This window comes from Homo sapiens, chromosome 6 (genome assembly GCF_000001405.40).
Source record: "Homo sapiens chromosome 6, GRCh38.p14 Primary Assembly".
Classification (NCBI taxonomy): Eukaryota; Metazoa; Chordata; class Mammalia; order Primates; family Hominidae; genus Homo; species Homo sapiens.
Genome location: NC_000006.12, coordinates 44,873,026 through 44,887,298, shown reverse-complemented (window position 1 = coordinate 44,887,298; position 14,273 = coordinate 44,873,026). Strand labels below are relative to the sequence as shown.

The window sequence follows — 14,273 nt, the reverse complement described above, 5'->3', positions numbered from 1 at the left end:
TGCAGTGGGGAGTTCTGTAGATGTCTATTAGGTCAGCTTGGTGCAGAGCTGAGTTCAATTCCTGGATATCCTTGTTAACTTTCTGTCTCGTTGATGTGTCTAATGTTGACAGTGGGGTGTTAAAGTCTCCCATTATTATTGTGTGGGAGTCTAAGTCTCTTTGTTGGTCACACAGGACTTGCTTTATGAAACTGGGTGCTCCTGTCTTGGGTGCATATATATTTAGTATAGTTAGCTCTTCTTGTTGTATTGATCCCTTTACCATTATGTAATGGCCTTCTTTGTCTCTTTTGATCTTTGTTGGTTTAAAGTCTGTTTTATCAGAGACTAGGATTGCAACCCCTGCCTTTTTTTGTTTTCCATTAGCTTGGTAGATCTTCCTCCATCCTTTTATTTTGAGCTTCTGTGTGTCTCCGCATGTGAGATGGGTTTCCTGAATATAGCACACTGATGGGTCTTGACTCTTTATCCAATTTGCCAGTCTGTGTCTTTTAATTGGAGCATTTAGTCCATTTACATTTAAAGTTAATATTGTTATGTGTGAATTTGATCCTGTCATTATGATGTTAGCTGGTGATTTTGCTCGTTAGTTGATGCAGTTTCTTCCTAGCCTCGATGGTCTTTACAATTTGGCATGATTTTGCAGTGGCTGGTACCAGTTTTTCCTTTCCATGTTTAGTGCTTCCTTCAGGAGCTCTTTTAGGGCAGGCCTGGTGGTGACAAAATCTCTCAGCATTTGCTTGTCTGTAAAGGATTTTATTTCTCCTTCACTTCTGAAGCTTAGTTTGGCTGTATATGAAATTCTGGGTTGAAAGTTCTTTTCTTTAAGAATGTTGAATATTAGCCCCCACTCTCTTCTGGCTTGTGGAGTTTCTGGCGAGAGATCAGCTGTCAGTCTGATGGGCTTCCCTTTGTGGGTAACCCGACCTTTCTCTCTGGCTGCCCTTAACATTTTTTCCTTCATTTCAACTTTGGTGAATCTGACAATTATGTGTCTTGGAGTTGCTCTTCTCGAGGAGTATCTTTGTGGCGTTCTCTGTATTTCCTGAATCTGAACGTTGGCCTGCCTTGCTAGATTGGGGAAGTTCTCCTGGATAATATCCTGCAGAGTGTTTTCCAACTTGGTTCCATTCTCCCCCGTCACTTTCAGGAACACCAATCAGACTCAGATTTGGTCTTTTCACGTAGTCCCATATTTCTTGGAGGCATTGTTCGTTTCTTTTTATTCTTTTTTCTCTAAACTTCCCTTCTCACTTCATTTCATTCATTTCATCTTCCATCACTGATACCCTTTCTTCCAGTTGATCTAATCGGCTCCTGAGGCTTGTGCATTTTTCACGTAGTTCTCATGCCTTGGCTTTCAGCTCCATCAGCTCCTTTAAGCACTTCTGTGTATTGGTTATTCTAGTTATACATTCATCTAAATTTTTTTCAAAGTTTTCACCTTCTTTGCCTTTGGTTTGAATTTCCTCCTGTAGCTCGGAGTAGTTTGATCGTCTGAAGCCTTCTTCTCTCAACTCGTCAAAGTCATTCTCCGTCCGGCTTTGTTCCGTTGCTGGTGAGGAACTGTGTTCCTTTGGAGGAGGAGAGGTGCTCTGCTTTTTAGACTTTCCAGTTTTTCTGCTCTGTTTTTTCCCCATCTTTGTGGTTTTGTCTTCTTTTGGTCTTTGATAATGGTGATGTACAGATGGGTTTTTGCTGTGGATGTCCTTTCTGTTTGTTAGTTTTCCTTCTAACAGACAGGACCCTTAGCTGCAGGTCTGTTGGAGTTTGCTAGAGGTCCACTCCAGTCACTGTTTGCCTGGGTAACAGCAGCGGTGGCTGCAGAACAGCGGATTTTTGTGAACCGCGAATGCTGCTGTCTGATCGTTCCTCTGGAAGTTTTGTCTCAGAGGAGTACCCGGACGTGTGAGGTGTCAGTCTGCCCCTACTGGGGGTGCCTCGCAGTTAGGCTTCTCGGGGTCAGGTGTCAGGGACCCACTTGAGGAGGCAGTCTGCCCGTTCTCAGATCTCCAGCTGCATGCTGGGAGAACCACTGCTCTCTTCAAAGCTGTCAGACAGGGACATTTAAGTCTGCAGAGGTTACTGCTGTCTTTTTGTTTGTCTGTGCCCTGCCCGCAGAGGTGGAGCCTACAGAGGCAGGCAGGTCCCCTTGAGCTGTGGTGGGCTCCACCCAGTTCGAGCTTCCTGGCTGCTTTGTTTACCTAAGCAAGCCTGGGCAATGGCGGGTGCCCCTTCCCCAGCCTCACTGCCGCCTTGCAGTTTGATTTCAGACTGCTGTGCTAGCAATCAGCCAGACTCCGTGGGCGTAGGACCCTCCGAGCCAGGTGCAGGATATAATCTCCTGGTGCGCCGTTTTTTAAGCCCATTGGAAAAGCGCAGTATTAGGGTGGGAGTGACCCGATTTTCGAGGTGCCGTCTGTCACCCCTTTCTTTGACTAGGAAAGGGAACTCCCTGACCCCTTGCACTTCCCAAGTGAAGCAATGCCTCGCCCTGCTTCGGCTCGCCCACAGTGTGCTGCACCCACTGACCTGCGCCCACTGTCTGGCACTCCCTAGTGAGATGAACCCGGTACCTCAGATAGAAATGCAGAAATCACCCGTCTTCTGCATTGCTCATGCTGGGAGCTGTAGACCGGAGCTGTTCCTATTCGGCCATCTTGGCTCCTGATCCACATTTTCTTTATCCAGTCTATCATTGATAGGCATTTGGGTTGGTTCCAAGTCTTTGCTATTGTGAGTAGTGCTGCAGTAAACATATGTGTGCATGTGTTTTTATAATGGAATGATTTATAATCCTTTGGTATTTGCTGGAGCAAATGGTATTTCTGCTTCTAGATCCTGGAGGAATCGCCACACTGTCTTCCACAATGGTTGAACTGATTTACACTCCCACCAACGGTGTAAAAGCGTTCCTATTTCTTCACATCCTCTCCAGCATCTGTTGTTTCCTGACTTTTTAATGATCACCATTCTAACTGGCGTGAGATGGTATCTCATTATGGTTTGATTTGCATTTCTCTAATGACCAGTGATGATGAGCTTTTTTTCACGTTTGTTGGCCGCATAAATGTCTTCTTTTCAGAAGTATCTGTTCATATCCTTCGCCCACTTTTTGATGGTGTTGCTTTTTTCTTGTAAATTTGTTTAAGTTCCTTGTAGATTCTGGATATTAGCCCTTTGTCAAATGGATAGATTGCAAAAATTTTCACCCATTCTGTAGGTTGTCTGTTCACTCTGATGAGTTTCTTTCACTGTGCAGAAGCTCTTTAGTTTAATTAGATCCCATTTGTCAATTTTGGCTTTTGCTGTCATTGCTTTTGGTGTTTTAGTCATGAAGTCTTTGCCCATGCTTATGGGTATTGCCTAGGTTTTCTTCTAGGGTTTTTATGGTTTTAGGTCTTATGTTTAAGTTTTAATCCATCTTGAGTTAATTTTTGTATAAGGTGTAAGGAAGGGGTCCAGTTTCATTATTCTGCATATGGCTAGCCAGTTTTCCCAACACCATTTATTAAATAGGGAATCCTTTCCCCATTGCTTGTTTTTGTCAGGTTTGCCAAAGATCAGATAGTTGTAGATGTGTGGTGTGTTATTTCTGAGGCCTCTGTTCTGTTCCATTGGTCTGTATATCTGTTTTGGTACTAGTACCATGCTTTTTGGTTACTGTAGCCTTGTAGTATAGTTACAATTTTGATACCTCTAGCTTTGTTCTTTTTGCTTAGGACTGTCTTAGCTATATGAGCTCTTTTTTGATTCCATATGAAATTTAAAGTAGTTTTATCTAATTGTATGAAGAAAGTCAATGGTAGCTTGATTGGGGACAGCATCAAATCTGTAAATTACTTTGGGGCAGTATGGCCATTTTCATGATATTGATTATTCCCATCCATAAGCATGGAATGTTTTTCCATTTGTTTGTGTCCTCTCTTATTTTCTTGAGCAGTGGTTTGTAGTTCTCCTTTAGGAGGTCCTTCACATCCCTTGTAAGTTGTATTCCTAGGTATTTTATTCTCTTTGTAGCAATTGTGAATGGGAGTTCACTCATGATTTGGCTCTGTGTTTGTGTATAGGAATGCTTGTGATTTTTGCACATTGATTTTGCATCCTGAGACTTTGCTGAAGTTGCTTATCAGCTTAAGGAGATTTTGGGCTGAGATGATTGAGTTTTCTAAATATACAATCATGTCACCTGCAAACAGAGACAATTTGACTTCCTCTTTTCCTATTTGAATGCCATTTATTTCTTTCTCTTGCCTGATTGCCCTGGCCAGAACTTCAAATACTGTGTTGAATAGGAGTGGTGAGAGAGGCCATCCTTGTCTTGCACTGGTTTTAAGAAGGAATGCTTCCAGCTTTTGCCTATTCAGTATGATATTGGCTGTGGATTTGTCATAAACAGCTCTTATTATTTTGAGATACGTTCCATCAATACCTAGTTTATTGAGAGTTTTTAGCATGAAGGAGTGTTGAATTTTATCGAAGGCCTTTTCTGCATCTATTGAGATGATCATTTGGTTTTTGTCATTGGTTCTGTTTATGTGATGGATTACGTTTATTGATTTGCATAAGTTGAATCAGCCTTGCATCCCAGGGATGAAGCCAACGTGATCGTGGTGGATAAGCTTTTTAATGTGCTGCTGGATCCGGTTTGCCAGTATTTTATTGAGGATTTTTGCATTGATGTTCATCAGGGATATTGGCCTGAAATTTTCTTTATTTGTTGTGTCTCTTCCAGGTTTTGGTATCAGGATGATGCTGGCCTCATAAAATGATTTAAGGAGGAGTCCCTCTTTTTCTATTGTTTGGAATAGTTTCAGAAGGAATGTTACCAATTCCTCCTTGTACCTCTGGTAGAATTCGGCTGTGAATCCATCTGGTCCTGGACTCTTTTTGGTTGGTAGGCTATTAATTACTGCCTCAATTTCAGAACTTGTTATTGATATAATCAGGGATTGTACTTCTTCTTAGTTTAGTCTTGGGAGGGTGTATGTGTCCAGCAATTTATCCATTTCTTCTGGATTTTCTAGTTTATTTGCGTAGAGGTGTTTATAGTTTTCTCTGATGGTAGTTTGTATTTATGTGGGATCCGTGGTAATATCACCTTTATCATTTTTTATTGTGTCTATTTGATTCTTCTGTCTTTTATTCTTTATTAGTCTTGCTAGCAGTCTATTTTGTTAATCTTTTCAAAAGAACCAGCTCCTGGATTCATTGATTTTTTTGAAGGGTTTTTCGTGTCTCTGTCTCCTTCACTTCTGCTCTGATCTTAGTTATGTCTTGGCTTCTGCTAGCTTTTGAATGTGTTTGCTCTTGCTTCTCTAGTTCTTTTAGTTGTGATGTTAGGGTGTCGATTTTGGATCTTTCCCACTTTCTCCTGTGGGCATTTTAGTGCTATAAATTTCCCTCTAATCACTGCTTTAGCTGTGTCCCAGAGATTCTTGTACGTCATGTCTTAGTTCTCATTGGCTTCGAAGAACTTATTTACTTCTGCCTTAATTTTATTATTTACCCAGTAGTCATTCAGGAGCAGGTTGTTCAGTTTCTATGTAGCTGTGCAGTTTTTAGTGAGTTTCTTAATCCTGAGTTCTAATTTGATTGCACTGTGGTCTGAGAGGCTGTTTATGATTTCCGTTCTCTTGCATTTGCTGAGGAGTGTTTGACTTCCAATAATGTGATCAATTTTAGAATAAGTGCAATGTGGTGCTGAGAAGAATGTATATTCTGTTGATTTGGGGTGGAGAGTTCTGTAGATATCTATTAGGTCCACTTGGTCCAGAGCTGAGTTCAAGTCCTGAATAGCCTTGTTAATTTTCTGTCTTGTTGATCTGTCTAATATTGACAGTGGGGTGTTAAAGTCTCCCACTATTATTGTGTGGGAGTCTAAGTCTCTTTGTAGATCTCTAAGAACTTGCTTTATGAATCTGGGTGCTCCAGTATTGAGTGCATATATATTTAGGATAGTTAGCTCTTCTTGTTGCATTGATCCCTTTACCATTATGTAATGGCCTTCTTTGTCTCTTTTGATCTTTGTTAGTTAAAGTCTGTTTTATCAAACTAGGATTGCAACCCCTGCTTTTTTTTGCTTTCCATTTGCTTGGTAAATATTCCTCCATCCCTTTATTTTGAGCCTTTTTGTGTCTTTGCACATGAGATGGGTCTCCTGAATACACCACACCAATGGGTCTTATCCAATGTGCCAGTCTGTGTCTTTTAATTGGGGCATTTAGCCTGTTTACATTAATATTATTATGTGTGAATTTGATCTGGTCATTATGATGCCAGCTGGTTATTTTGCCCATTAGTTGATGATGGTCTTTAGAATTTGGTATGTTTTTGCAATGGCTGGTACTGGTTGTTCCTTTCCATATTTAGTGCTTCCTTCAGGAGCTCTTGTAACGTAGGCCTGGTGGTGACAAAATCAGCATTTGATTGTCCGTAAAGGATTTTATTTTTCCTTCACTTATGAAGCTTAGTTTGGCTGGATATGAAATTCTGGGTTGAAAATTCTTTTCTTTAAGAATGTTGAATATTGGCCCCCACTCTCTTCTGGCTTGTAGGGTTTCTGCAGAGAGATCTGCTGTTAGTCTGATGGGCTTCCCTTTGTCGGTAACCCTTTCTTACTCTCTGGCTGCCCTTAATATTTTTTACTTCATTTCAACCTTGGTGAATCTGATGATTATGTGTCTTGAAGTTGCTCTTCTAAAGGAATATCTTTGTGGTGTTCTCTGTATTTCCAGAATTTGAATGTTGGCCTGCCTTGCTAGGCTGGGGAAGTTCTCCTGGATAATATCCTGCAGAGTGTTTTCCAACTTGGTTCCATTCTCCCCGTCACTTTCAGGTACACCAATCAAGTGTAGGTTTGGTCTTTTCACATAGTCCCATATTTCTTGGAGGCTTTGTTCACTCCTTTTCATTCTTTTTTCTCTAATGTTGTCTTCACACTTTATTTCTTCAAGTTGATCTTCAATCTCTGATATCCTTTCTTCCGCTTGATCGATTCGGCTACTGATACTTGTGAATGCTTCATGAAGTTCTCATGCTGTGTTTTTCAGCTCTATCAGGTCATTTATATTCTTCTCTAAACTGGTTATTCTAGACAGCAATTCCTCTAACCTTTTTTCAGGGTTCTCAGCTTTCTTGCTTTGGGTTGGAATATGCTCCTTTAGCTCGGAGAAGTTTGTTATTACCCACCTTCTGAAGCCTACTTCTGTCAGTTCGTCAAACTCATTCTCCATCCAGTTTTGTTCCCTTGCTGGCGAGGAGTTGTGATTTTTTGGAGAAGAGGCATTCTGGTTTTTGGAATTTTCAGCCTTTTTGCTCTACTTTTTTCTCATCTTCGTGGATTTATTTACCTCTGGTCTTTGATTTTGGTGACCTTCAGATGGGGCTTTTGAGTGGATGTCCTTTTTGTTGATGTTGATGCTATTCCTTTGTGTTTGTTCATTTTCCTTCTAACAGTCAGGCCCCTCTGCTGCAGGTCTGCTGGAGTATGCTGGAGGTCCACTCCAGACCCTGTTTGCCTGGGTATCACCAGCAGAGGCTGCAGAACAGCAAAGATTGCTGCCTGTTCCTTCCTCTGGAAGCTTCATCCCAGTGGGGCACCCGCCAGATGCCAGCCAGAACTCTCCTGTATGAGGTGTCTGTCAGCCCCTACTGGGAGTTGTCTCCAAGTCAGGAGGCATGGGGGTCAGGGCCCCACTTGAGGAGGCAGCCTGTCCCTTGGCAGAGCTCGAGTGCTGTGCTGGGAGATCCACTGCTCTCTTCAGAACCAGCAGGCAGGAATATTTATGTCTGCTGAAGCTGTGCCCACATCCACCCCTTCCCCTAGATGCTCTGTCCCAGGAAGATGGGAGCTTTATCTGTAAGCCCCTGACTGGGGCTGCTGCCTTTCTTTCAGAGATGCCCTGCCCAGAGAGGAGGAATCTAGACAGGCAGACTGGCCACAGCAGCTTAGCCAAGCTGCAGTGGGCTCTGCCCAGTTCAAAGTTCCAGGCAGCTTTGCTTACACTGTGAGGGGAACATTGCCTACTCAAGCCTCAGTAATGGTGGACGCCCCTCCCACCACCAAGCTCGAATGTCCCAGCTCGACTTCAGACTGCTGTGCTGGCAGCAAGAATTTCAAGCCAGTGGATCTTAGCTTGCTGGGCTCCATGGGGGTGGGATTTGCTGAGCTAGACCACTTGGCTCCCTGGCTTCAGCCCCCTTTCCAGGGCAGTGAATGGTTCTGTCTCACTGGCATTCCAGGTGTCACTGGGGTATTAAAACAAACTCCTGGAGCTAGCTCGGTGTCTGCCCAAACAGCTGCCCAGTTTTGTGCTTGAAACCCAGGGCCCTGGTGATGTAGGTACCCAAGGGAATCTCTTGGTCTGAGGGTTGCGAAGACCCTAGGAAAAGCATAGTTATCTGGGCTGGAATGCATCATTCCTCACAGCATGGTCCCTCACGGCTTCCCTTGGCTAAGGGAGGGAGTTCCCTGACCCCTTGCTATTCCTGGTGAGGGAACGCCCCACCCTGCTTCGGCTTGCCCTCCGTGGGCTGCACCCACTGTCTAACCAGTCCCAATGAGATAAGCTGGGTACCTCAGCTGGAAATGCAGAAATCACCCGCCTTCTTCATTAATCTCACTGGGAGCTGTAGACCAGAGTGGTTCCTATTCAGCCATCTTGCCATCCACACCCGAGAGCAGCTATACCATTTTATATTACTACGAGCAATGCGTAAGTGTTCCAGTTTCTCCACAACCTAACCAATGGATGAAATATTTTTAAGCAAGGGATTCACACACATACACAGTAACTTCAACACGATCTTCTATTTCTCAAAACTCTCATTAGTTTAAAAAAAAAAAGGCTTTAGTGCAAGCCCAAATATCTCCAAAAAAAGGCCTATCTCACGATTTATGATAGGAGATTAGAAACATACCCACAAATGGCACGTTGTTTTTAAAAGAGTTTAGGTTCCATTAAACGTTACAAATACATGTATCTTCTCATCATAAGCATCACATTTGATGATGGACTTTGCTTCAAACAGTGTCAAAATCAGTAATGCATCACATTTTAGAAAACAATTTCAAATAAAACCTTGTTACAACACTGCTCTATATTACTTTATCACTATTTAGGATCATACCTAATTGTTTACAACAGCATATGAATTACTTAGGATTTGTTAGACTTAAAAGCAAAATGCTGGCAGCTAGGGTTCAGTGTTTGGCCCATGTTAGCATTCTGTCCTGGAAGGACTCCTTTAGTTGGGTGTCAAAATAGCTTTAATGCTTCACCAAATGAAGAAACGGCATATCATACATTTTATATTAAATTCCTTTTAGACATACTAAGGAATTTACAAACAGGATCAGGTTCCAGGATGGAAAGCACATCAGGCTTATTCAAAGAACCTTTGGAAGTCAATAAGGAGAAAAATACCAACATCACAGTGCAGAACTGGAGAACAAACACCGACAATTCATCTAAAAATATGAATGGCAGACTTCACTGATAATGGAATTCTATGAAAACAATGATAAACCAATGTCTACATCACTGACAAAAAAAAATTGAACATAATGTTTGATGCAGGAGAGGTTTGCATGAGAAATGCAATCTTAGGTCTGTTTAAAAATGTATAGATATATAGATACACACACACATAAACTGTTCCTACCCTTTAGCCATGCTGAAGAAGTAAATGGGATTGAATAATTTTCATTTAAGGGTTTTCCTGGTAGTACACTTATGTTAGTGAAAATGTGGAAATAATCTGCTTACCTGTAAGGACACACCTGAATAATTTGTGTTACAAACTGGGATTTTTTTTTTTTTTTTTTTGAGACTGAGTCTCACTCTGTCACCAAGGCTGGAGTGCAGTGGCACTATCGCAGCTCACTGCAACCTCTGCCTCTGGGGTTCAAGTGATTCTGCTGCCTCAGTCTCCAAAGTAGCTAGGACTACAGGCATGCGCCACCACGCCTGGCTAATTTTTTTGTGCTTTTAGTAGAGACAGGGTTTCACCATGTTGACCAGACTGGTCTTGAACTCCTGACCTCAGGTGATCTGCCTGCTTCAGCCTCCCAAAGTGCTGGGATTACAGGCATGATCCACCGTGCCCAGCCCATGCACTGGGATATTAAGTAGCCATTAAAATAACATTTTGTAAAATGTTGAATGGCTTGGGAAAATGCTCAGCATATTGTAAGGAGTAAAGAAGGCTACATTATTTGACATAGGATAAGATATTTAAAAGCAAATTTATAGAAATACACTAGACATAACTGTCAAATCCTTTTTCCAGTTTCCTTGAGGTATAACCTACCCCATCTTTTTAATGCATTTCTAAGTAGGTTACAAACATCAGCATTTAAGGATGCATGTTATTAACTAATGTTCAGTTTTTTTCTTTTAAGATAAAATTTTCATACAATGTCATACACTTTTTTTTTCTTTTTCTTTTTTTTTTTTTTCAATTGAAGATCTTTATTTTTATTGTAGGCTTTTACAACTATGTATTTTAAGCACAGTTTTGCTTTTGTGTTTTCATTTTCATTCATCTCAAAGTATTTTCTAATTTCCCTTGATGTTTCTCCTTTGATCCATTGGTTATTTAAGAGTATGTTGTTTAATTTTTTTTTTAATTTTTTTTTTAAATTATACTTTAAGTTTTAGGGTACATGTGCACATTGTGCAGGTTAGTTACATATGTATACATGTGCCATGCTGGTGCGCTGCACCCACTAACGTATCATCTAGCATTAGGTATATCTCCCAATGCTATCCCTCCCCCCTCCCCCGACCCCACCACAGTCCACAGAGTATGATATTCCCCTTCCAGTGTCCATGTGATCTCATTGTTCAATTCCCACCTATGAGTGAGAATATGCGGTGTTTGGTTTTTTGTTCTTGCGATAGTTTACTGAGAATGATGGTTTCCAATTTCATCCATGTCCCTACAAAGGACATGAACTCATCATTTTTTATGGCTGCATAGTATTCCATGGTGTATATGTGCCACATTTTCTTAATCCAGTCTATCATTGTTGGACATTTGGGTTGGTTCCAAGTCTTTGCTATCGTGAATAATGCCGCAATAAACATACGTGTGCATGTGTCTTTATAGCAGCATGATTTATAGTCATTTGGGTATATACCCAGTAATGGGATGGCTGGGTCAAATGGTATTTCTAGTTCAAGATCCCTGAGGAATCGCCACACTGACTTCCACAATGGTTGAACTACTTTACAGTCCCACCAACAGTGTAAAAGTGTTCCTATTTCTCCACATCCTCTCCAGCACCTGTTGTTTCCTGACTTTTTAATGATTGCCATTCTAACTGGTGTGAGATGATATCTCATAGTGGTTTTGATTTGCATTTCTCTGATGGCCAGTGATGATGAGCATTTTTTCATGTGTTTTTTGGCTGCATAAATGTCTTCTTTTGAGAAGTGTCTGTTCATGTCCTTCACCCACTTTTTGATGGGGTTGTTTGTTTTTTTCTTGTAAATTTGTTTGAGTTCATTGTAGATTCTGGATATTAGCCCTTTGTCAGATGAGTAGGTTGCAAAAATTTTCTCCCATGTTGTAGGTTGCCTGTTCACTCTGATGGTAGTTTCTTTTGCTGTGCAGAAGCTCTTTAGTTTAATTAGATCCCATTTGTCAATTTTGGCTTTTGTTGCCATTGCTTTTGGTGTTTTGGACATGAAGTCCTTGCCCACGCCTATGTCCTGAATGGTAATGCCTAGGTTTTCTTCTAGGGTTTTTATGGTTTTAGGTCTAACGTTTAAATCTTTAATCCATCTTGAATTAATTTTTGTATAAGGTGTAAGGAAGGGATCCAGTTTCAGCTTTCTACATATGGCTAGCCAGTTTTCCCAGCACCATTTATTAAATAGGGAATCCTTTCCCCATTGCTTGTTTTTCTCAGGTTTGTCAAAGATCAGATAGTTGTAGATATGCGGCATTATTTCTGAGGGCTCTGTTCTGTTCCATTGATGTATATCTCTGTTTTGGTACCAGTACCATGCTGTTTTGGTTACTGTAGCCTTGTAGTATAGTTTGAAGTCAGGTAGTGTGATGCCTCCAGCTTTGTTCTTTTGGCTTAGGATTGACTTGGCGATGCGGGCTCTTTTTTGGTTCCATATGAACTTTAAAGTAGTTTTTTCCAATTCTGTGAAGAAAGTCATTGGTAGCTTGATGGGGATGGCATTGAATCTGTAAATTACCTTGGGCAGTATGGCCATTTTCACGATATTGATTCTTCCTACCCATGAGCATGGAATGTTCTTCCATTTGTTTGTGTCCTCTTTTATTTCCTTGAGCAGTGGTTTGTAGTTCTCCTTGAAGAGGTCCTTCACATCCCTTGTAAGTTGGATTCCTAGGTATTTTATTCTCTTTGAAGCAATTGTGAATGGGAGTTCACTCGTGATTTGCCTCTCTGTTTGTCTGTTGTTGGTGTATAAGAATGCTTGTGATTTTTGTACATTGATTTTGTATCCTGAGACTTTGCTGAAGTTGCTTATCAGCTTAAGGAGATTTTGGGCTGAGACGATGGGGTTTTCTAGATAAACAATCATGTCGTCTGCAAACAGGGACAATTTGACTTCCTCTTTTCCTAATTGAATACCCTTTATTTCCTTCTCCTGCCTGATTGCCCTGGCCAGAACTTCCAACACTATGTTGAATAGGAGTGGTGAGAGAGGGCATCCCTGTCTTGTGCCATTTTTCAAAGGGAATGCTTCCAGTTTTTGCCCATTCAGTATGATATTGGCTGTGGGTTTGTCATAGATAGCTCTTATTATTTTGAAATACGTCCCATCAATACCTAATTTATTGAGAGTTTTTAGCATGAAGGGTTGTTGAATTTTGTCAAAGGCTTTTTCTGCATCTATTGAGATAATCATGTGGTTTTTGTCTTTGGTTCTGTTGATATGCTGGATTACATTTATTGATTTGCGTATATTGAACCAGCCTTGCATCCCAGGGATGAAGCCCACTTGATCATGGTGGATAAGCTTTTTGATGTGCTGCTGGATTTGGTTTGCCAGTATTTTATTGAGGATTTTTGCATCAATGTTCATCAAGGATATTGGTCTAAAATTCTCTTTTTTGGTTGTGTCTCTGCCCGGCTTTGGTATCAGAATGATGCTGGCCTCATAAAATGAGTTAGGGAGGATTCCCTCTTTTTCTATTGATTGGAATAGTTTCAGAAGGAATGGTACCAGTTCCTCCTTGTACCTCTGGTAGAATTCGGCTGTGAATCCATCTGGTCCTGGACTCTTTTTGGTTGGTAAACTATTGATTATTGCCACAATTTCAGAGCCTGTTATTGGTCTATTCAGAGATTCAACTTCTTCCTGGTTTAGTCTTCGGAGAGTGTATGTGTCGAGGAATGTATCCATTTCTTCTAGATTTTCTAGTTTATTTGCATAGAGGTGTTTGTAGTATTCTCTGATGGTAGTTTGTATTTCTGTGGGATCGGTGGTGATATCCCCTTTACCATTTTTTATTGTGTCTATTTGATTCTTCTCTCTTTTTTTCTTTATTAGTCTTGCTAGCGGTCTATCAATTTTGTTGATCCTTTCAAAAAACCAGCTCCTGGATTCATTGATTTTTTGAAGGGTTTTTTGTGTCTCTATTTCCTTCAGTTCTGCTCTGATTTTAGTTATTTCTTGCCTTCTGCTAGCTTTTGAATGTGTTTGCTCTTGCTTTTCTAGTTCTTTTAATTGTGATGTTAGGGTGTCAATTTTGGATCTTTCCTGCTTTCTCTTGTGGGCATTTACTGCTATAAATTTCCCTCTACACACTGCTTTGAATGCGTCCCAGAGATTCTGGTATGTGGTGTCTTTGTTCTCGTTGGTTTCAAAGAACATCTTTATTTCTGCCTTCATTTCGTTATGTACCCAGTAGTCATTCAGGAGCAGATTGTTCAGTTTCCATGTAGTTGAGCGGCTTTGAGTGAGATTCTTAATCCTGAGTTCTAGTTTGATTGCACTGTGGTCTGAGAGATAGTTTGTTATAATTTCTGTTCTTTTACATTTGCTGAGGAGAGCTTTACTTCCAACTATGTGGTCAATTTTGGAATAGGTGTGGTGTGGTGCTGAAAAAAATGTATATTCTGTTGATTTGGGGTGGAGAGTTCTGTAGATGTCTATTAGGTCCGCTTGGTGCAGAGCTGAGTTCAATTCCTGGGTATCCTTGTTGACTTTCTGTCTCGTTGATCTGTCTAATGTTGACAGTGGGATGTTAAAGTCTCCCATTATTAATGTGTGGGAGTCTAA

At 41.0% G+C, this 14,273-nt stretch overlaps 1 protein-coding gene across 23 annotated transcripts in view, besides 2 other annotated features; it reads left to right on the top strand.

Moving 5' to 3' along the window:
• Positions 1-14,273, top strand: part of SUPT3H (SPT3 homolog, SAGA and STAGA complex component) — a 568,878-nt gene that overhangs the window by 490,636 nt on the left and 63,969 nt on the right. The gene's annotated exons all lie outside the window — the stretch shown is intronic.
• Positions 4,697-4,866: an enhancer, noted in NCBI's record as "experimental_91988 CRE fragment used in MPRA reporter constructs". NCBI's record gives its function as "activates a minimal promoter by MPRAs in K562 erythroleukemia cells, with activity observed for both the introgressed and non-introgressed 6:44850255 variant alleles {active_cell/tissue: K562}" and the evidence as "EXISTENCE:reporter gene assay evidence [ECO:0000049][PMID:34662402]".
• Positions 7,970-8,470: an enhancer, noted in NCBI's record as "H3K4me1 hESC enhancer chr6:44846566-44847066 (GRCh37/hg19 assembly coordinates)". NCBI's record gives its function as "activates a minimal SCP1, AML or CMV promoter by ChIP-STARR-seq in naive H9 embryonic stem cells {active_cell/tissue: H9 hESC(naive)}" and the evidence as "EXISTENCE:reporter gene assay evidence [ECO:0000049][PMID:30033119]".